At 52.6% G+C, this 21,185-nt stretch overlaps 2 protein-coding genes across 13 annotated transcripts in view, besides 3 other annotated features; one reads left to right on the forward strand and one right to left on the reverse strand.

Annotated features, from left to right (window-relative positions):
• On the reverse strand, positions 1-15,457 carry GUCD1 (guanylyl cyclase domain containing 1). Of its 10 annotated transcripts, none has more exons than NM_001284253.2 (6): positions 15,178-15,457; positions 8,480-8,564; positions 7,471-7,636; positions 6,477-6,568; positions 3,405-3,517; positions 1-2,660 (listed from the first exon to the last, which is right to left on the reverse strand). In NM_001284253.2, the coding sequence occupies exons 1-6, from the start codon at positions 15,386-15,388 to the stop codon at positions 2,569-2,571; spliced, it is 759 nt and encodes a 252-aa protein (NP_001271182.1). In that variant the 5' UTR covers positions 15,389-15,457; the 3' UTR covers positions 1-2,568. The 10 variants fall into 10 exon arrangements, 9 of the variants coding, with proteins under 9 accessions (NP_001271182.1, NP_001271181.1, NP_001271180.1 ...); NM_001284252.2 differs by having other exon boundaries at positions 3,405-3,646; NM_001284251.2 differs by having other exon boundaries at positions 1-2,663; positions 3,405-3,646.
• Positions 14,450-14,809: a silencer, noted in NCBI's record as "silent region_13554". NCBI's record gives its function as "represses an Ori minimal core promoter by ATAC-STARR-seq in GM12878 lymphoblastoid cells {active_cell/tissue: GM12878}" and the evidence as "EXISTENCE:reporter gene assay evidence [ECO:0000049][PMID:35858748]".
• SNRPD3 (small nuclear ribonucleoprotein D3 polypeptide) overlaps positions 15,213-21,185 on the forward strand; it is a 19,322-nt gene continuing 13,349 nt past the window's right edge. The window contains exons 1-2 of one of the 3 annotated variants that reach the window (NR_103819.1): positions 15,213-15,634; positions 17,220-17,363. Coding sequence is in view for 2 of the 3 variants with exons in the window: in NM_004175.5 (NP_004166.1) it covers positions 17,238-17,363 (126 nt within the window). In the remaining variant the exon portion in view is untranslated. The remainder of the gene's footprint in view (positions 15,635-17,219; positions 17,364-21,185) is intronic. The other 2 variants (NM_004175.5, NM_001278656.2) reach the window with 2 other exon arrangements.
• Positions 15,270-15,369: an enhancer, noted in NCBI's record as "active region_18779". NCBI's record gives its function as "activates an Ori minimal core promoter by ATAC-STARR-seq in GM12878 lymphoblastoid cells {active_cell/tissue: GM12878}" and the evidence as "EXISTENCE:reporter gene assay evidence [ECO:0000049][PMID:35858748]".
• Positions 19,092-19,141: an enhancer, noted in NCBI's record as "active region_18780". NCBI's record gives its function as "activates an Ori minimal core promoter by ATAC-STARR-seq in GM12878 lymphoblastoid cells {active_cell/tissue: GM12878}" and the evidence as "EXISTENCE:reporter gene assay evidence [ECO:0000049][PMID:35858748]".

The raw sequence follows: 21,185 nt of genomic DNA on the forward strand, positions 1-21,185 counted from the left end.
TTTTGCAGTGAGAATAATGTTTATTGAGAATGGCTCATTACAAACAAAATATATATAAAATCTCTGCAATGCAAAAGATCCCTTTCATCCCCGTGGCTAGAATGAACAAAGCCCAACTGTCCCACATGGCTTCAGGTGCTGTGCTGGTCCCCAGCATGTGAACAGGCTGGGCAGCTGTCGGTGTCATGTGCTGTGGGCAAAAGTCCCTGATGTCCAGGCTCTCTGGCTCCATTTTCATGACTTGTGCAAGAATGCAACACAGTGTGTCTTACATCCTGCCTCTGTGACCCTCCCTAGGCAGATGAGTCTTGAGAATGGGCAGCTTTCTCATTCATCTTTCAGGAAGGTGACCTTTAACTTGTGGCATGCCCTGAGAAGCCATCCTCTGGGACCAGAGACTGAGTGTTTCTAAACATTTTGGCTGGACTGAGGTGCTGTTACCACCCTCCATGAAGGCCACTCCCTAGTGACAGCCCTAACAGCATGTGCACTGTCTAAATCACATCCCACCATCCTGAAAACTTCATTTCCTCCCACTGGTTTCCTTCATACAGCTATTCTAACAATTTTACCAGAACACCACCTGAAGATGCCCACACCCCACAGCTGCTGTGCATGGGTACTCCTGGGCCACCTGGCATTAAGGCAATGGAGATGAGACCAGTCTAGAGCCAACACCGGTCTCTGAAACCCAGAAGGGCTGCCCAACTAACAGCACCTCCCTCTTGGCCAAAGGCTTTGTCTAGGGTTGAGAAGCAATTTGGCTGGGTGGTCTCACTGCCCTCCTAAACAGAGCCCACCTCTGCCCCCAGAGTCATCTGTGCTCCAAAGCAATGGGCGGGGGCACAGCTGCCACCATGCCATGCCTTGGGCATTGGAAGAGCAGGACCCAGGAGTGCAGGGATGGTATCACTGTTGCCCCTTTGAAAATGACCCATTTCCCACTTTGGGAGGCCGAGGCAGGTGGATCACCTGAGCTCAGGGGTTCGAGACCAGCCTGGCCAACATGGCGAAGCCTGGTCTCTACTAAAAATACAAAAAAATTAGCCGGGCATGGTGGCATGTGCCTGTAGTCCCAGCTAGTGGGGGGCTGAGGCAGGAGGATCGCTTGAACCCAGGAGGCGGAGGTTGTAGTAAGCCAAGATCGTGCCACTGCACTCCAGTCTGGGCAACAGAGTGAGTCTCCGTCTCAAAAAAAAAAAAAAAAATCCATTTCCTTTAGTTTTTTAGGTGCAGACTGGGGTTCAAGACCCAGCTCCACCACTGTCCTGAGCAGACTCCCAAGACTGGGCCAGCTGCCTCGTCAGCTGCCTCGTCTGAGAGGTGAAGGGGCAGGTACTTAAACCACTGGCCAAGTCCCTTTCTCTGAAAAAGAACTTGAGCTGGCTAACTGCCCTGTGCAGAGGTGTTAGTGGTTCCAAAGTACCTTCACTCTTGCTATTACTGTTTTACTTGAAGGTGATTACCCCTCAAAAATGAAAACTTAAATCTCAAAGAAACAACCCCTGACCCCAACCTCCCCAAAAAAGAGGAAGGAAAGAGCTCTATGCTACTTGCTGTGTTGTAAGATCCTGGGCAGGAACCCCTCTTCTCCATCAAGATAGACAAGACCCAGTATCCTGTGCAATCTGGTGTGAAGACCAGGTTGGGTGGGCAGCTGCAGGCTGCCCCAGCCCGTTGCTTTGGAGCACAGGCCTTAGCAGCCAACCTTAAAGGACTAGGGGCTCCCCACACTCAAGAGGGCAGACCCTGCTGTCAGGATTTTGGCTGGTGTCAGGAGGCCTCCTGGGTGCAGGGATCCCTCTGGGGCTAGGGCAGCTGTTTATTCCCAGAGCACTGCTGCCAGCCACGAGGCCTACCAGTGGGATCTAGGCCCGAGAGCCCTCCATCTGACAGAGCTGGAGGACCTGGAGGGCTGTGGGGGCTTTAAGAGTCTCCAGCGGCCAGGGCTCTGCATGGCAGGGCAGCTGTGAGGTGTGTCTATGCTGGGTGGCAGGGGTCAGATGCCCTGTAATGAGCCACAGAAACTTGGGCCCATGGGTAGGCAGGTGGTGGTGGTATCATCAACCACTGGGCACAGGGGCATATGCAGCACTTCCAGGAGAGAGGGGCCTGGAGGGGTCCTCAGCCCTGGGGGATTGGGGTCAGCTATGCTGTCTCCAGACACTCACATACTGTCCTGACAAGTGGCATCCGTCAAGCAACTTCTCTCTCCAGGCTCAGTCCTGCGGTCTGTGGGGAGACCATTGCCATGGATCTGGCTCAAAGGCAACAAGGGCACTGTCGGGACTGGACTTCCTGTGGGCGCAGCTGGAGTCAAGGCTTGGGGTCTTGGGGTATGCTTCCAGCAGCCAGCAGGTGCTTGGGGTGAGTGACATGACAACACACGGCACTGGCAGACAAAGCAGCTGTGCCAGTCTCCGAGTTCCTGGGACTCTGCCAGATGGGCTGAGGCTGCAGTTCCACATTCCAACCCCAGCAGCCCCAAGCCTGGGCCAGGGCATCCTGAGCGGGCCCGGCTGGGGTGGGGATGGGGTCCGAGGGCCTAGGCGCACCAGGCTCCTGCTGTCAGCTGTCCAAGTAGACAAAGAGGATGTCCTCATCTGTGCCATAGCTGGTTCTGGCCTCCTCAAAGTTACTGATGCTGGTGCTGCACATTCCTGCTGGGGGTGGGGAAGGCAGAACGGGGTCAGTGGGTTGTGAGAGAGCACCTACACCACCGACACAGTGCCCAGGGGAGCTGAGTGAGGTCTGTTTCCCATCCACATGGCCATTCCTCTCAACTCAAGTCCTCCACCCCCAGGAAGCCCTCCTTGCCCATCCTGGTCTTCATGAGGTTTCTCTGACTCCTCCCCAGTAAAGCAGTTGGAGAAAGGCCCAGAGAGGGGCAGAAACGTGCTCCAGGCCACATAGACGGGGTAAGTCTATGTGGTCAGGGCGTCCAGGGGCTGTCTATGTGAATCCAGTCTATGAGAGTCAGGGCAGCCCTTCCCTGTGCCCGGAGGGCAGTAGGCAGGCCAGGATGGGTCTAGAGCAGGGGCTGGGTCTGGCCGGGCTTTTCTTTCTGAGGAATGTGCCGGCCATCCTGGTGGTTGGGGGAGGGGTGCAGCCTGGGCAGCATGAAAGGGTAAGGCAGGGACCTGGGCAGTGGCGTGGGGCCTGTGGTGTGAGAGGGAGGGGTGGCCAGGGTGTAGAGGAGGCTGGCACAGTTTGCGGCAGGTTTGCCTGCATGGCCTGAGGGGTGGCCACAGTGACAAGAGCCCAGGAGGAGCAGGGGCTTTGGGGAAAAGGTAGGGAGGGAGGCCCTGGCCACACTAGATTGAATGGGTGGGAACTGTGGGCACTGGGCATACAGAACAGTGAATGTGGACCACTCTGCCTCACCCACCCCACCCAGCACTCACGGTCGGCATAGGCTGGGTTGTTGTAGAAGATGCAGCCAGTGGCCCGGTTGTAGCCACGCAGCACGATGAAGTGGCCCTGGTAGTCAGGAGTGCGGCAGAAGCAGTGGTGGCCACTGGGGGTGAAGCAGCAGTACTTGACAGGGCTGGAGCACAGGTCACAGTGCAGCACCCCCGAGTTCACCAGCACGATGGCCACATGGCCCTGAGCCAGGTGCGCCTGGATGTCCTTCACACTCACTGTGCTGTGGGCGGGAGGGGGGTCAGCTGGTGCTGCTGGGCCCCCATTCCCCATCCCTCAAATGGATCCCTGCTTGTGCCTGTTTCTCTGTTACAAAGCTTGGGGATCGGCTCCTTTTCCCTTTGCCCTGAACTCCCTGCTCTGTCACTGTGGCCCAGGCTCAGCCTAGAGCCAAGCAGGAGACCGGTGGGGGGGGTGTGTGTGTGTGTCTGAATGTGCACAAAGATGAGCTGGCTCTGTCAGGCCCTTCACGGGGAGAGCATTCAGCTCCAGGTGGGTCCAGTCAAGGGCCACTAGAGCAGCACACAGAAACCATCCTCCTACTGCACCCCAGCCTGGTTAGTGAATTCTTTTTGCCCAGCCCTGTCTCTCCTCTACCCTAAATCATGTGTGGTTTACATTGAAAACTGCCAGCCAAGCATGGCTCAGACACTTTCAAAACCAAATGCTTCTCTGAAAGAGCTATTTTACTTTTTTTCTAAGGCTCCTGGTGGCAGAAGGGGCTGCCCAGGAAGGGCTGGGCCACATTGCTTCCAGGGGAGCTCCAGTTCAGCAATGACATCTACCTGGAGCCTCCCTCACTGGCAGAAGGCACTGCCCCATCCTGTGCCTTCCACTAGGCAGCAAATCCAAATGAAAACCTAGAGCAGGGCTGGGCACAGTGGCTCACACCTGTAATCCCAGTGCTTTGGGAGGCCAAAGCGGAAGGATCGCTTGAGACTAGGAATTAGAGACCAGCCTGGGCAACACAGCAGTACCCTGTCTTTACAAAAACATTTAAAAATTTACCAGGCGTGGGGCGTGGTGGTATGAGATTGTGGTTCCAGCTACTCGGGAGACTGAGGCAAGAAGATCACTTAAGCCTGGGGCTGTAGCAGTGAGCTGTATTGCAATATTGCGCCACAGCACTACAGCCTGTATGACAGATTAAGACCCTGTCTCTTAAAAAAAAAAAAAAGAAAAGAAAAGAAAACACCCAGAGGGACAGAGGGCAGATGGGGCTGTGGGCAGGGGGAGCTCTAGGCCAGGGGCTCCTGCATCTTTGCTGGAGGGGCTGCTCACCCACTTGGGGCCTTCCTTAGGAGTGGCAGCATCAGTACCATGTGGCCTGACCCAGCTTCAGCCACAGCTGAGTCACGTGGCAGTTTGGATTGCTGCCTTGGCCAAGGAAACATGCCATTTTTCCATTTGGTCTTTGAAACAAAATAGCTGGCTGAGTTCCCAGTGGCAGTGCACAGGAGTGGGATTTCAGCTATAGGGAAAAAGCAGGGGCTTGGCTGGAAGGAAAAACTACAGGCTTCAAGGAATAACAAGCATGGGTTCAGATCATGGCATGGCCAAGATGCTGGGGGTGACCTTGGGTGTCTCTCTCCTCCTCAGTTTCCTCCCCCGAGAAGCAGAGATAGCAACAGCTTTCCCACTCAAGGAGACAGCACCTGTTGAGGGCTGCTAAATAAACATTTGCTGCCTTTCCTTCCAACATGTGCCCATGTGGTCATAGTATGAATGGAGATCCCACCCCACTATATTCTTTTTTTTTTTGAGACAGAGTCTGTCTCTGTTGCCCAGGCTGGAGTGCAGTGGCGCGATCTCGGCTCACTGCAAGCTCCGCCTCCTGGGTTCATGCCATTCTCCTGCCTCAGCCTCCCGAGTAGCTGGGACTACAGGCACCCGCCACTGCGCCCAGCTAATTTTTTGTATTTTTAGTAGAGACGGGGTTTCACCATGATCTCGATCTCCTAACCTCGTGATCCGCCCGCCTCGGCCTCCCAAAGTGCTGGGATTACAAGCGTGAGCCACCGTGCCCGGCCTGTTTTGTTGATTTTTAAAGCCCGGGGCAGTACTCTTGGAAAATGTCCCACATCCTGGATTTGCCTTTCTGTTTCCTTGAGGGCAGATTCAGACAGAGTCTCGCTCTGTCCCCCAGGCCGGAGTGCAGTGGCACTATCTCGGCTCACTGCAAGCTCCGCCTCCTGGGTTCAGGCCATTCTCCTGCCTCAGCCTCCCGAGTAGCTGGGACTACAGGCGCCTGCCACCACGCCCGACTAATTTTTTGTATTTTTAGTAGAGACAAGGTTTCACCGTGTTAGCCAGGATGGTCTCGATCTCCTGACCTCGTGATCCGCCCACCTCAGCCTCCCAAAGTGCTGGGATTACAGGCGTGAGCCACCGCGCCCGGCCCCCAAACCCCCATTTTCTAAATCACCTATCATGTGATTATACTACGTCAATAATGAAAATATAAATCCGCAAAGAAAGGGAAAATCTGAGAAGAGCCTGTCCAGGACCTAGAGGCAGCAGGTCTGAGCCCCACTCCCACGTAGCCCAGAAAAGAATGTGACCCACATCTGGGCAAACTGCACCCAGAGTCTTCCTGAATCCAGCCCCAATGCATACAGATGAGAAGAGGAGGCCCTTGTAAGGTCACAGCAGCCCTTACACACTGGGTCCTCCCTGTTCCCCATCCCTTGTCAATCACTGCACCAGCACATTCCTCTTAGGCCATCGCCCTTTCATTAGGGGCCTTGTGTTCTGTCCCATGCTGTCTTTCTGCAAGTAGCCCAAGGGCTGGGTGCAATCTCTCTCACTCACCTATCCCTCCAGCACCTGCTCAGGATCCACCCCTGGTCAGAGCCTGGGTCATGTAGCCCCAGTGAGCTCCATAAACCAAGGCTCAAGGGGGCAAGTCAGTGCCCACAGCCACCCGGGTAGCCAGTTCTGCCTGGCTCCAGAGTCCTAGCCTTTCCTGAACACCATCCCGAGGCCTCCCCACTGCAGATCTGTGGGTGAGCAGGCATGAGAGGAAGGGCAGGTAGGAAAGTTGGGGGGCTCACCATTTCTCCACCAGCACCTTGCAGGCCTTTGCTTGTGCAAACAGCTGATTCACCCGGGTCTCTTCTGTGTCAAAGTGCTTCCTGTAGAAGGACTGAACAGAGAAGAGGGGGATGGAGTGGCCACCACCCAGGCTGCCTTCACTCCATTTAGATGAAGGAAATAAAGAGCGTGTTACAGAGGCAGAGACAGCAGGAGGGCAGAGGAGCCCCACCTGCCAGGGCAGACGGTACATGCAGCAAGCCAGATCAGAAAGCTGTCTGTCCTAAGCAGGAGCAGGGAAGCAGGACCACACAGAGGCATGAGGATGATGCTTGAGAGAGGGGTGGGCAGCTGGGCTCAGGTCAGCTCTCTGGGGAGGATCGATCACCCTTGGGCTTGTACACTCTGGCAGGCATGAGCAGGAGCCCGTAGCGAATAAGCAAGGGGGATGAGGCTGAACCACCTGGGACAGCTCAGCTACAGCTTGGCTTAGCTAGGTGTCGTCCACGGAACACACTTTGCTGGCATGGCTATGTTGGCATTATTTTTCAAAAGGCAAAAAAAAGAAAAGATGGTATTTTGGTTTTCTTCTAGACTACCAATTATATAGCTTAAAAGCTGGCTCTCCTGGTGAAAAGTAAAAAAATGTGCAAATGATGGCCGGATGAGGTCAGTGATGTTCTCAGAGGCCCTGGGCCTGCCTTGTGCTGAGGACAGTAGGAAAGAACGTAGGAAGTGGCCTCTGCACATTCTGAGGGCTGTAGAAGGCAGGTGGACAGGAGCCAGGACTCAGTACTCAGATCCTCTGGGCAGGCCCGACTGCAAGGGCACCTGCTCTGACTGGCTCCCAAATCCTGCCTATAGCCTCTCTGCTGCTGCTCCCTGGTCTCTGCACACCTGGGTATCTACCTGGGTGTCTAGCCCTTGACTGTTCCCTCTTCCAACTACTGGAACCAGGTGGCCTTATACCTCTGTGTGGCCCCACATGGGAAGGCCTGGTGGCTGGTCGCTCACCTGGTTCTTGTAGCCCTTGTCGACACCCAGGGTCTGGGTACAGAAGCGGTGCCTCACGCCAAAGTGGTGCATCAGGTAGGCCAGGTCGATGGTCCAGATGCTCCTGGTCAGCTGCAGCTTCTGCAGGGCTCTCTCAAACTCACTGTCGTCCAGCTGGCCCAGGTACCTGCAGGTAGACGAGCTGGGGAGCTCAGCTTGGTCTTGAGGGTCAACTGGTCTGAGTCACCCTCCACCCACTGGCCCAAGAGCCCCGTCACAGGTCCCATTCCCCAGAAGTCTCCCTCCTTCATCATGAGACCCTAGGTCCTGCCCACACACTGCCCAGGCTGCTTGGGGCACCGTCCTGGCTCCAGAGTTGCAGGCCTGGACTCTGCTTCTCAAATCTATTGTGTCTTGTGGGCTGTGACCTTGAGCAAGTCATTGTCTTCTCTGGCCTCTTTAGCTTCATCTCTAAAATAAGGTCCCTGATCACATCAGTGGTTTTCAAAGTTTTAGGCAAAGAACGCTTTTGTTGAATTTTCTCTTGCTGAGATTCCCAGGATGTAAAACAGATGAAGATGCAGCTGCCCTGTGGTTCCAGGAAGCCAAATGAAAAACTCTTGTACAAGGTGACGGCTACAGTCCCTCTTGGCTCTCACTGTCCAGGTTTCTGTGATATTCACACAGCCTCAGCTTAACGGTCAGCACCCCATTCTCCCAGGAGCCAGAAACTGGGGAGTGGAGGGCCTCCTATCCCAGTCACAGAACTGCCTTGTAGGACAGGCCTGGGCACCTGGGACTTCCTGGCCACCCCAAGCCCCCAGACATTACTATCATGGAGAGCTGGAAGGCCTGGTCCACCCCTTGCTCACTTTTGCAGATGGGACTAGGACCAGGTAGAAGCTTGGCCTCCTGCAAGCCCCAACCAAAGATAGCTACATGGACCATGGATCCCACCCAGGTCTCTCCCAAGCCAGAGCAGAAGATGTAGATGGGAAGCACCTGGGCCCCCAGCCCTGGCCCCACTCACCGCAGCACCATCCTGGAGCAGGCCAGGCCACAGTCCCAGTGGTAGAGCTGCTGGATGACGGGCACAGGCAGTTGCACAAAGTCCCCTGTGCAGAAACAGAGGGAGGTCACAGACCCTCAGCGCAGAGCCCACCACTCCCACCCTCATGGGAGCCAGTGTCACTGCCTCCTGCCTAGACCCTGCAGGGGCTGCTCAGGGACCTTCCCACAATCCTTCAGGAATCCCCTCAAATCCAGGCTCCTATAATAGCAGTGATCTCCCCAAAACACCGGCCAGAGCAGGTCAGCCCAACTGAAAATCCTCCAGTGAGCTGGGTCCCACATTCCTTAAGACAATACCTCCATGGCTGCTGCCCTAGCACCCTCTGCACCCTTGCCTTTGCTTGTCATAATCCCTCACACCCTGGAGGTCTTTGCACACCTGGTTCCTCTGCCTGGACATACCTGGCTTCCCAGGTGCCTGAGCTAACTCCTGCCCTTGGATGTCACTTCTCCAGTATTGCCCCTCTCAGGCCCAGTGACCCACATGTGCATTCACTTCCCACCATGCCTACTCAAAGCCCTTCTTTTGGTGGGAGCTCTGAGGAGGAGGGACAGAGTCTTTTTCTTTTTTTTCAACAGGGTCTTGCTCTGTCGCACAGGCTGGAGTGCAGTGGCATGATCTCGGCTCACTGCAACCTGCGATTCCCGGGTGGCAAGTAATTCTCCTGCCTCAGCCACCCAAGCAGCCTGTAGTCCACAGGCGTGCGCCACCATGCCCAGCTAATTATTGTAATTTTAGTAGAGATGGGGTTTCACCATGTTGTCCATGGTTCCATGGCTGGTCTCGAACTCCTGACCTCAGGTGATCCACCTCAGCCTCCCAAAGTGCTGGGATTACAGGCGTGAGCCATTCCGCCTGGCCAGCAGGGGCTGTTTTGTTTCCTGCTTTCATTCCAGGGCTGGCACATGGGAGGCACTCAGCAGATAATGTATCTGAGTTCATGAGGCCCCTGGAGGTTTGCTTGACTCCAAAGACCCCAGGACCACCAGGGTGTGAGACCATGGCCAGGAGAAGGGAACTGTCACGTAAGCTATGAAGCATATGTAATATTCTTGTGAGCTCCATCCCCCACCAACCCTGGGCGACCTCTCGGTCTGTCTTTGCCAGGCTGTGAGGTGGAGCAGAAAGGGCCTGACCTAGCGTTCCAGTCTCAACTGTGCCACTGCTGGCTGGCTGTGGGCTGGGCAGCTGACTTCCTCTTGCTGGAATGAGTCTGGCCATCCCTAAACAGGGGGACTTTGGTCTGATTCAGTCATTCAGTCAACAAATATTTCCCAAAAGCCTAGTAAGTGCCTGGTGTGTGTACTGGAGATACAGCAGTGAATGACACAAAGTCACTCTCCTGGTGGATAGCAAAAATAAGCAAACATAGCAAAATAGAGGCCTAGGCTGGGGAAAACAGTGGGGGTGTGCCTTAGAGGGGATGGGGGAACAGCATGTGCTAAGGCCCTGAGGTGGGGCAAATGGGCTTGTGGCATGCAGGACCCTCCTCCGTAGCCACCTCATGAACCTGGACAAAGTTCAGAGTCTAAAGAGGAAGAGACTTATCTCTGCTGTTACTCACTCATGACACTCATTCAGCACGTGAAAACCTTGCCCACATTGTTTCCCCATCTGGCAGGTCTCTCCTGGACTGTGTGACCAGCTCTGTGTAGAGCCACCCCAGGAGCCCTCCTGCTGTGCCAGCCCCAGTTCCCCTCACTTCCCTGTGTGCGCCAGCTAAGACGGCCACTCACTAGTCCTGGGATCTGTCCTGGCCTTTCCAACCTACCAGGCTTTGAATCCCAAGTTCCTCCCTTCCTATGTCTGACCTTCCCCAGCCTTCAAGGCCTGGCTCAGAGGCCATTTCCAGGGCCTTCCCTGATCACAGACTGGCTACACCCTTTCACTCATCTGTACTTCTCTGGGCTTGAGTTCACACTTTGCCTCCTAGGATGCGGCCCTTGCATTGAGCTTGTCTGTGCCCTCCTGTGTTGCTTATACGTTCCCAAGAGGCAGGGACCTATCACTGCTCCTGGTGTCTTTCTACTCCATGTGCAGCAGGGCCCATGGAAGGCACAATGGCATGAGCAAAGCAGGCCACCTGCTAGCTAAGTTGCCTGGCCTCTCTGTGCCTGCTTCTTCCTCTGTGAAATGGACTACCAGACGCCAGCCTGCAGGGTGATGTGAACCCTAAGGACAAGAACGTCTATAAAGCCCTTTGCAGGTGCTAATAATGTGAACCTGCCCCCAGCTGGGGCCTGGTATGCTAAGCCCAGGCTGGACTGAGGCCTCATTCTCTTCCTTCCTCTTAACCCAGATGCCTCCAAAAGATACCCAGGCCGTTCACTCAAGGCGCTCACATGTTCCCCTGCTATCACTGCCAAGGATTCAGTGGCACTGACCCCTGCCTGTCCCTGCCCCAAATTCCACTCCCAGCACCTCTCCCACCTCTACATACAGCAGCCGTAGGGATTCCCATTCAGTTTCCCACTGCTCTTGGAATAAGGTTCTCATCCCTTACCGGGGCCCTGCCTAACCTGGCCCGCCAGCCTCATCTTGGCTGCCCTCACCTGTGGTCTAGTTAACCTGTGAACTCATCAAGGCTTCATTCTACCCCAAGGCATCTGCACGTGAGGATCCCTCTGTCTGAAACTCTCTCCCGGCTGCTGTTCTCAAGGTTGTGTCCCTTCTAGTCATTCAGGTCCCAGCTCAAAATCTCTTCTTAGAGGTTTTTCTGACTAAGCCTTTGAGAAACGAGGGAACTCTCCTTCACAGCATCCTATTCGTTTCCTTCACAGTGCTTGGCAAAAGTAACAATAGCATCAAGCCACTCTCTTGAGACGGCAAGCTTCCTGAAGGCAGGTGCTATGGTATCCTCTCCAAAATTTATGTTGAAACTTAATCTCCATTGTGGTGGTATGAAGAAATGGGTGCAGAAGATATCCACAACCAAAAATATAAATAAATAAGAAGTGTGGCCTTTTGTGAAGTCAGGAGGGCTCTGCCCTCATCAGTGAACTAGTGCCTTATAAAAGGGCTGGAGGAAACTAGCATAGGCCATTTTTTTTGCCCTTCTGTTCTTCTGTCATGTAAAAGCAGTGTTCATGCCCTTTCTGTTCCTTCCACCATGTGAGGACACGTAGGTGGCACCATCTACAAGGAACAGGCCTTTACCAGACACAGAACCTGCCAGCGCCTTGATCTTGGACCTCAGAGTCTCCAGAACTGTGAAGAATTAAATTTCTAGAGCTGGGCACAGTGGCACACACCTGTAATCCCAACTACTCACGAGGCCAAGGCAAGAGGAGCCAAGGAGTTTCAGACCAGTTCGAGCAAAATAGTGAGACCTCCATCTCCAAAAAAGAAAAAAAGAAATTAAATTTCTATTGTTTCTAAATTACCCAGTCCCAGGTATTTTGTTATAGAAGCACAAATGAACTGAGACAGCAGGAAACTTGCTGATCTTGTTCACTGTTATTCTCAGTTGCTGGTGTTGAATGTTTAATAGTAACTCAATAAATATTTGCTGGAAGAAATAAACTTTTTTTAGGCCGTGCACAGTGGCTCACGCCTGTAATCCAAGCACTTTGGGAGGCCAAGGCAGGCGGATCACTTGAGGTCAGAAGTTTGAGACCAGCCTGGCCAACATGGTGAAACCCTGTCTCTACTAAAAATACAAACATTAGCCGGGCAGGGGCCAGAGCCTCTTATCCCAGCTACTCGGGAGGCTGAGGCAGGAGGATTGCTTGAACCTGGGAGGCGGAGGTTGCAGTGAGCCAAAATTACGCCACTGCACTACAGCCTGGGCGACAGAGTGAGACTCCATCTCAAAAAAAAAAAAAGGAAAAGGAAAAAAAAGAACTTTTTGTTTTCTTCTGAAACAGGGTCTCACTCTGTCGCCCAGGCTGGAGTGCAGTGGTGTGACCAGAGCTCACTGCAGCCCTGAACTCCCAGGCTCAAGGGATCCTCTGACCTTAGCCTCCTGAGCAGCTGGAACTATGGGCACACGCTACCACACCCAGATAATTAAAAATAAAATAAGCCCTCACTGTTTGCTAGGCTCTGGGGACACAAAGGTAACTAAAGACCCACCCAAGCCCTGACCCCTAGGGACTCATAAAGAGCTGAGCAGTGGGAGAGCTCTATGCAGGATGTTGTGCTGTCACGGTGAATGCCTGCCTGTTCAAGAACCCCTCACAGCAGCCACACACTGCCTTTTTGTTTTTCTCTACTCATACTGTTTCCTCCCCAGCTTTTGCTCTTGCACATCCCTTAGTCTAGGAGTGTCCAATCTTTTGGCTTCCCTGGGCCACACTGGAAGAATTGTCTTGGGCCACACATAAACTACACTATCACTAATGATAGCTGATGAGCCTTAGTCTGAAATGTTAATGTTGTCTCCATGCTCTAATCCCTCTCACTCTCAGGGCCCCTCAATATGGAGTCCTTAAAGAGGCAATGAGAATTCTTCAGTGGCAGATGGGGATGAGGTTGCATTTGCCTCCTTCCAACCCTCAGCCCAGAGTAGGCACTTAGATATGCTTGGGGAATGGAAGGCGTTTTCCAAAAAGACCTCATACCTTGAGATGCCCAGGCCTACTTGTCACTTCCCTGCTCTGCACCCCTCCTCCCCCAGGCTTCCAGACTACAGCCCTCTGTGTGAGGCTCCCTCCTTACTCTGTGGCTTGGGCTGTGACACTGACTAGCTGGGCTATCTTCTGCCAGGCTATGACTGTCCATGCCTTTCCATGTCCAGCTATAAAATGTGGCACAAGACAGCAGCTCTCTCTCAGAGACTCAGCTGCGCCTCCTCCTCTTGCCCTGCGCTCTAGAACTCCTTGATCCTGAGGCCTGGCAGGCCCCACAGGGCCATCTCCAGCCTCGGCAAGGGCGGATCGGACCTAGAGGTGCTCATGTTGGGGGTGATAAGGTTAGGCGAGGCCTTGGCATCTGTCCCCATAACAGCTTTAGCCTTCTAAACACAAAGCCACAGCCAGACGTTGCTGCCTGGAGCCAAAGGGCTGCCTGGAAGGCCCTGGCCTGAGCTCAGTTAGTGGCTGTCACTAAGGAAGGCAAGCAGTGCACTAGCCTTTAATACTTAACCCATCTCAGACTCAGTCTGCTCAGCTGCAAAAGTGCAAATCACAGTGGGCACCTACTTCACTGGTTCGTTATGAGGATTAATGAGGCACTGCATGTAAACAACTGCACGCAGCGCGCGCCTGCCTCATAGAACACTCCCTGTGAATGTAAGCCATTCCTCCTCTGAGGCTCAGGAAAGGCAAGTATCTTGTCTCAGACCACAGGGCTAGACAACTGGAGGAGGAGGGTTGTAAATCCCCCACCAACTCCACACAGCAGACACAAAAGGGAACACTCCCTGGGAGTGACACCTGAAGGTCAGGGTCCCACATGCTGTTGACCTCTTCCACAGTTGGCACTTCACTTCAGAGTTTACTAGCTAGAACTCCGTTTGTCATCAACCCCGCGCCTTCAGCAGGACAGGAATCACGTCTTCCCCCTCCCCTACGTCTTGGGCAAGCAAACTAACGGCCAAGACATTGAATACCAGTCCGGGTCTCCGCCCCAAAGGGGCTCAGGCTACCGCGTGGCAGAGAGAACGAAAGTGAAGAACAAGAGCAAGACAAAACGCCGAGTCTCGGAGGCCAGGGCACTGGCCCTTCCATTGCTCGGTGCTCTCGGCCAGTTTCCTGCCCTTCCCAGCCTCAGTCCTCCACGGTTTCCCAAGGCATGGGAGCTCCCAAGGCGGCTCCAGCAGGACTTTTCGCTTCTGGGGAAGGTGGTGCCCCTGCTACCCGGACCTTCCCACCATGCTGACAAGGGTCGCAATCCTGCGAGTGTCAGGAAACCCCCACTGACTGGAACCAGGCGGGTGTGGGGGCGAGGCGGGAGTCGGCCCAAGGTCGCGCGACTGGACCCTGCCCCGCGCTAGGGAGGGGTCCCTTTCGTTCCTAGGGTGAAGACTGGGCCCACAGAGAGGCACTGACCGGGCTCGAGCGGCGGCCCCGCTGCCTCCGCCTCCGTCCTCATGACCCGGGCGGCGCGGGGCGCCCATGGCCCCGGCCCAGAGCGGGCTACAGCTTCCGCTTCGGCTGGGGCGGGAGGGCGGTCGGTGCGTGTCGAGTTCCTTCTCCGCCACCGCCGCCGCTGCGGAGGAGAGAACGGGAGGCGGCGGCTGGGCCGCCCCAAGCGCCGCCCCAGCCCTTCCAGGTCTCGAATCTGGAGGCCCCGCCCCCTCCTTAGGCCCCGCCCCAAACTTTGATCTTAGAGGTCCCCAGCCTCTTGATTTAAGTCTGCTCCGGCCATTCGCCGCCTCAGCGTTGAGTGGCCCCACCCTCTCGCCCAATCCTCGCGCAGACGCGCAGCTCACCAGGACGCGGGCCCCGGAAGCCCCGCCCCTTTCTTTGAGCCCCGCCCCAAAGCTCGTGCATTTCCTGAATAGAGGCTCGTCCCTTCGGCAAGCCCCGCCTCTGCCGGGTCCCGCTCTTTTGCCAGTCCTAGGTGTAAGCCCTGATCCCGCCCAGTGCATCCCCGAGGCCCCAAGCAACTCTCCTCCAACTGTCTTTAGGGATAACCCTGAGCGGGCAGCCGCTCTACTCTATACCTAACTTTATCCGTACCAGATACCTAGCCTCACTCAGGGCCCCCCTTACCTGGCGGTGCCGGGATCAACAAATGAAATTGTGACGGGAAGTCCTGGCCCTTGGCCCAACCTCCTGCTGTCCCCGGTCTGAGGGCCCAAGCCCCGCGTCTCCGCCTTGCCGTCCAGCCTGTCCTTGGTGTGGGGTGCTTGGAAGTGTGAGCACCCTCTCTGGCTCTTTGCCGGCCCCAAGGGTCGTTGCGGCGGCCCCCGGGCCCAGTCATCAGCCCTCTTTTCCGGTGCCGGAACTATCGTACTGGTGCCCTAGTTTCCCAGCCGGCAGGCGGAGTGAGGAGGAAGCGGAGGCGAGACCGCGCTCAACACTGGGGAAAGGAAGGAGGCGGGCCCTGCGCGCAGCATTTTGGGAAAGAGTGGAATTCTGGGTGTTAGGCCCGCCATTCGCTTGACTCACGCCTTCGCCGTAGCATCTTTCGCAGCGGACCGAAGAGAAGAAAAGTAGGCCAGAGCCGGTGAGGCTGGGGACGGGCGAGGGGAGGTCGAGGCGCCTGTGAGGGGCCAGGGGCTGGAGAAAGACTTGCTGCATGGAACTCTGCGGGGCTCGGGGAGGGAAGAAAGCGGGAAGCTTGGGCCACCCAAACATCAGCGTCGCCTCACTAGCTCCTGGAAGTAAGTTCATTAGCTTTCCCCTCAACGTGCATGCTTCTCACATTCTGTATCTCTCCAGGTGAGTGTTTTTCAAAGCTTCCAGGCAGTAATCTCGAAGTCATTTCTGATTGACTATCTCCTTCCCCCAAATCCTATGAGTTTTTTTTTGTTTTTTTTTTTTTAAGTAGAGACGGGGTTTCACCATGTTGCCCTGGCTGGTCTCGAACTCCTGGGCTCAAGGGATCCACCGGCCTCGGCCTTCCAAAGTGCTGGGATTACAGGCGTGAGCCACCGCGCCCAGCCGGTCATTTTTTAAAAAGTTCTTTGTATCTCTGCCCCAGTCCCCTTTCAGGCAATGGTCCCCTCATGCTTTCCACACTGTTGCAGCAGTTTTAACTGTTGCAGAAGTTTTAACAAGTTTCTCTGCTTCTAAACCTTACGTTCTATCCATTTTGTAAATAAATGCTGCTATCTTTTCATTGCGTCATTCTTTACATATAATTCTGCAGTGGTTCTCCACTACCTTCAGCATAAAATCTAGACTCCTAAGGCTGAAAGCCAGGGATCCTCACCAAAGGAGCCTGTCCTTTCAACCTCATGTTCTCCTGTCTTAGGTACGCTTAAGTTGAAACTTAGAGTTGTTGCTCATCTCAATAAAAAGTTCACTGCTTGATGCTTTTGATTAGGTCAAGTCAGGTGCTTTCCCTGATTTTCCTCCATGACAAGCATTTCCTGCATATAGCACGTTGTCACTTTGATATTTTCTCAATATCCTTGATAGTAAAATAAGTGAAGGGTTAAAGGGCTGAATTAAAAGTACAGCCTGCTCTCCTAGATGTGCATGGTCCTTTGGTCTGTATCTGCACCTTCCATAGGGTAGCCACTAGCTACATGTGGCCGTTGAGGACTTGGAATATGGCCACTGGGATTGAGGGACTGGGTTTTTTTATTTTAATTCTATTGTGTTTTAGTTAAGTTTAATTTAAATAGCTACGTGTGTACATGAGCTGCTGTATTGGACAGCTCGGGCCTGTATTATTCTCAAAACGTAATCATCTACAATTAAGGGTTAACAAATAACAGTGCAACAAATTAACATTCCAGTCCCCCTCCCCTGACACACACAGTATTGGCTAATGGTCCTTTAGCTGAAGATTAAGGGACATAGGGTAGCGGGGACACATGACCCATGGGAGATGCTCTCTTTTCATTCCTAGTTTTACTTCTGTCCATCCCATCATTCCTCCTCACCCCACATCTTGCACATATTTGCCAGATAGTTTCCTCCAAACCAGGAGCTGAGCTTTTTTTTTTTTCCTTGGTAGAAAATGCAGCTTTGGTGTTTTTGCTAAGTTTTATGGAGTGCCAGGCCTTAAAGGAAGCATGATGTGTGCCACATGCCTTTTCAGACTCTGAAAGATGAACTGACTGTTGTCTCTCTCATTGTAGAACTCTCTTCCTGCCAAGATGTCTATTGGTGTGCCGATTAAAGTACTGCATGAGGCCGAGGGCCACATTGTGACATGTGAGACGAACACCGGTGAGGTATATCGGGGGAAGCTCATTGAAGCAGAGGACAACATGAACTGCCAGGTATTCTGCTTTGCATGTGAGGCTGTGTGGGAGGAATGGCCCTGTGTCTTGAAGGACAGAAAAGTGTGTGTTGAGGGTCTCTGGAAATTGTTCTCATTCAGCAGTGATTTCCTAAGTGCCTAATGCATACCAGTCAGGTGCTGTTATAGGCTCTGGGGGTGTGGGCATGAACGAGACACATAATCTTGAGGCAGAAAAGCCATTTGGAGGTTTGGAATATTTTACTTTGTCCTTTTTGTTTTTTCCATCCCCAAATATGGGGGTCTATTTGGGAGAAGTGCTACTTCCTTCAGTAGAATCCTTCAGATTCAGGGCCATTATCCATTTGCCTCCACTTGCTTTGCGATTAGCAGAATCTTCTCACCTACTGTATTTGTTTCCCTTTTCTCTTGGAGGAGGAGTCTCATTTGATTATTGCAACTACCTTGTGAGGTAAGCAGGTTTGGTGATAGTCTTGTCATCCATAAAATAGGGAGAATGAGATTAAAGGGCTCATCACTCTGATGATAAATAATGGAGTAGTTTCCTGATATGGTGTCCTTCTCATGGCACAACTTTGCCTTTTGCATAGTCATCTGAATTTTTATAGCATTGTTTTTCAGTTGTATCTTCACACTTTCTTTGTTCTTTAAACCACTGGTTAAGAACTTGGACTTGGGAGTCAGAGAGAGATGTGGGTTTGAATCCTAATTATATGACTTTAGATGTATTAACCACTCAGTTTTCTCATCTGTAAAATGGGGGTGGTATTATGTTGGGTTCTTTGATGTAGATGCCAAGACAGAATTTTGCAAGGTATTTATTGGGGGAAATGACAATAAAGGATAAAAGAGCAAGGAAGCAGTAGTAGGCAGGGAAATTTTCAGTCTATGGTGCTGGTCTGACTGGTGAAATGAGAGGGGAAAGGAAGGAGGATTGAGCAGGAAGAGCCTTAGACTACAGCGTAGTTTTGAGGAAATCTCAGCAAGGCAGCGATTGCTCGTTAGAAGAGTCTAGCATGGGGCAGAAATGGGCGGACTGGCACCCCCGGTGTGTTCAGGCTGGCAACATGGGGAGAGAGTAGCCTCAAGTTGAATGCCATGGTGGACTGCAAAGATGGAGATTGTCGGCTGCCTGCACTCCTCATAGCCTGTTCTCTTTTGAAGGGAGATGTGAGCAGCACACCCTTAAGACTGCCACAGGGGTAATATCCACACCCCCAGGACTTTTACAAAGATCAGATGAGCTGTATGTGTGCCATAGCTGCTCAGTGCCTCACATACTGTGAGTGTTCAACATATGATACCTATTGCTTTTTTCCAGATGAGAAGGTCAGAGAGGTAAAGCACCTTACACCGCGGTCAGGCATCCTGACCATCCATTGGTTTGCAGGGTTCATTTATTTGTGATTTTTCTGTAGCTTTGAGCGTCTGTCATCTTCCTGCGAGGTTGACAAGCTTGGTCAGTTCCCTGAATGCAGAGAAGTAGACCTCTGGTGACTCAGGTTTATTGCATTACTGTCAATAGATCAGTTTATCTATTGAGGGTAGATAAGTTTATCATCTCTCATATATCCAGTCCTCTGGCTTAAGGCATGCTCATCCACTTTAAGGTTCTTTAATTTGGTGAGGAGAATGCAAGACTTGGGTTAGTGAAGCTTAATGGGTTTGTTCAATTAGCTGTATGTATTTGGACAACTTGCTGGGTTTCCAGGGCCTTTGTCATCCCATCCGTAACGTGAAGGTGTCTAACCAGATAACCTTGGTAGCCATTCAGAGATGCAGTCAACATGACACAAAGTGCACAGACCTTGGTGTCCGACAGACCTGGAATCAGCTTGTAGCCTGCCCCCTAGGGTGACTTGGGGCGAGCTTAGCTTTGGACCTCCTTCATCCTCTGGTCCCTCCTCTAAATCAGGGATAAAAATAGCACCTTGGCCTCAGAAGGAACCATGCCTGACCAATGGTGGGGGACAGCCACCTGCCTCCCTGCTTGTATTTGTATGCTAGTGCTACCATAACAAAGTTTCACAGACTGGGCAGCTTAGACAACACAAATTTATTTTCTCATAGTTCTGAAGGCTGGAAGTCTGAGATCAAGGTGTTGGCAAGGCTGGTTTCTTCTGAGGAATGTGAAGGAAGGATCTGTTTCAGGCCTCTCTCCTTGCTTATATATGGCTCTCTTCCTGTGTCTTCACTTGGTCTTCCCTCTGTAGTGTTTCTGTCCAGATTCTTCTTATAAGGATACCATGCATGTAGGATTAGGGCCCACTCTAATGACTTCATCTTAACATAATTATGTTTATAAAGAATTTTTTTTTTTTTTTTTTTGAGATGGAGCCTTGCTCTGTCACCCAGGCTGCAGTCTTGCTCTGTCACCCAGGCTGGAGTGCAGTGGCGCGATCTTGGCTCACTGCAACCTCTGCCTTCCAGGTTCAAGCGATTCTCCTGCCTCAGCCTCCTGAGTAGCTGGGACTACAGGCATCTGCCACCATGCCCAGCTAATTTTTGTATTTTTATATTTTTAGTAGAGACAGGTTTCACCATATTGGCCAGGCTGGTCTCGAACTCCTGACCTTGTGATCTGCTCGCCTCGACCTCCCAAAGTGCTGGGATTACAGATGTGAGCCACCATGCCCAGCTTGCTTGCTTTTTTTTTTTTTTTTTTTTTTTTTTTTTTTTTTTTTTGAGAGTCTCACTCTGTCGCCCAGGCTGGAGTGCAGTGGCATGATCTCAGCTCACTGCAACCTCTGCCTCCTGGGTTCAAGCACTTCTCATGCCTCAGCCTCCTGAGTAGCTGGGACTATGCCCAGCTAGTTTTTCGTATTTTTAGTAGAGATAGGGTTTCCCCATGTTGCCCAGGCTGGTCTCAAACTCCTGAGTTTGCCTCAGCCTCCCAAGTGCTAGGATTACAGGCGTGAGCCACTGCACCTGGCCTTTTTTTTTTTTTTTTTTTTTTTTTTTTTTGAGACAGAATCTTGCTCTGTTGTCCAGGCTGGAGTACAGTGGCACAATCTCAGCTCACTGCAAACCTCCGTCTTCCCGGGTTTAAGCAACTCTCTTGCCTCAGCCTCCTGAGTAGCTGGGGTTATAGGCATGGGCCACCGTACCCCACTAATGTTAATATTTTTTGTATTTTTAATAGAGATGGAGGCTCATCATGTTGCCCAGGCTGGTCTCTAACTCCTGAGCTGAGGCAATCTGCCCACCTTGGCCTCCCAAAGTGCTAGGATTACAGGCATGAGCCACTGCACCCAGCCTTTTTTTTCTTTTCCTTTTTCTTTTCTTTTTTTTTTTTTTTTTTTTTTTTTGAGATTAAGCTTTGGTCTGTTGACCAGGCTGGGGTGCAGTGGTTTGATCATAGCTCATGGGCAGCCTTGGACTTCTGGGCTCAAGAGATCTTTTCACCTCAGTCTTCTAAGTATCCAGGACTACCAGTGTGCCCCACCATACCTGGCTAATTTTTAAATTTTTTTGTAGAGACGGAGTCTTGATATGTTTTTCAGGCCAGTTTCAAACTCCTGGCCACAAGTGATCCTGCTGCCTCAGTCTCTCAAACTCCTGGAATTACAGGCATGAGCCACCACATCTGGCCTGTAAAGATTTTTTGTCTCTAAATATGATCACATTCTGAGGTGCTGGGTATTAGGACTTCAACAATGAATTTTTTTGAGGGATACAATTTAGCCTGTAACAGGATGTAGAGGCCTCACTGGGTCTATCAAAACCTAGGCACATTGAATAAGAGCCAGCAGACTGTGGCGTAGCTAAAGCTGGTGGTGGGTGAACTCTGAGCACAGTTTAGTTTGTTCAGCACATCTCAGGCTGTGAGGCTTGCCTGTCC

Source organism: Homo sapiens, chromosome 22 (assembly GCF_000001405.40).
Source record: "Homo sapiens chromosome 22, GRCh38.p14 Primary Assembly".
Taxonomy (NCBI): Eukaryota; Metazoa; Chordata; class Mammalia; order Primates; family Hominidae; genus Homo; species Homo sapiens.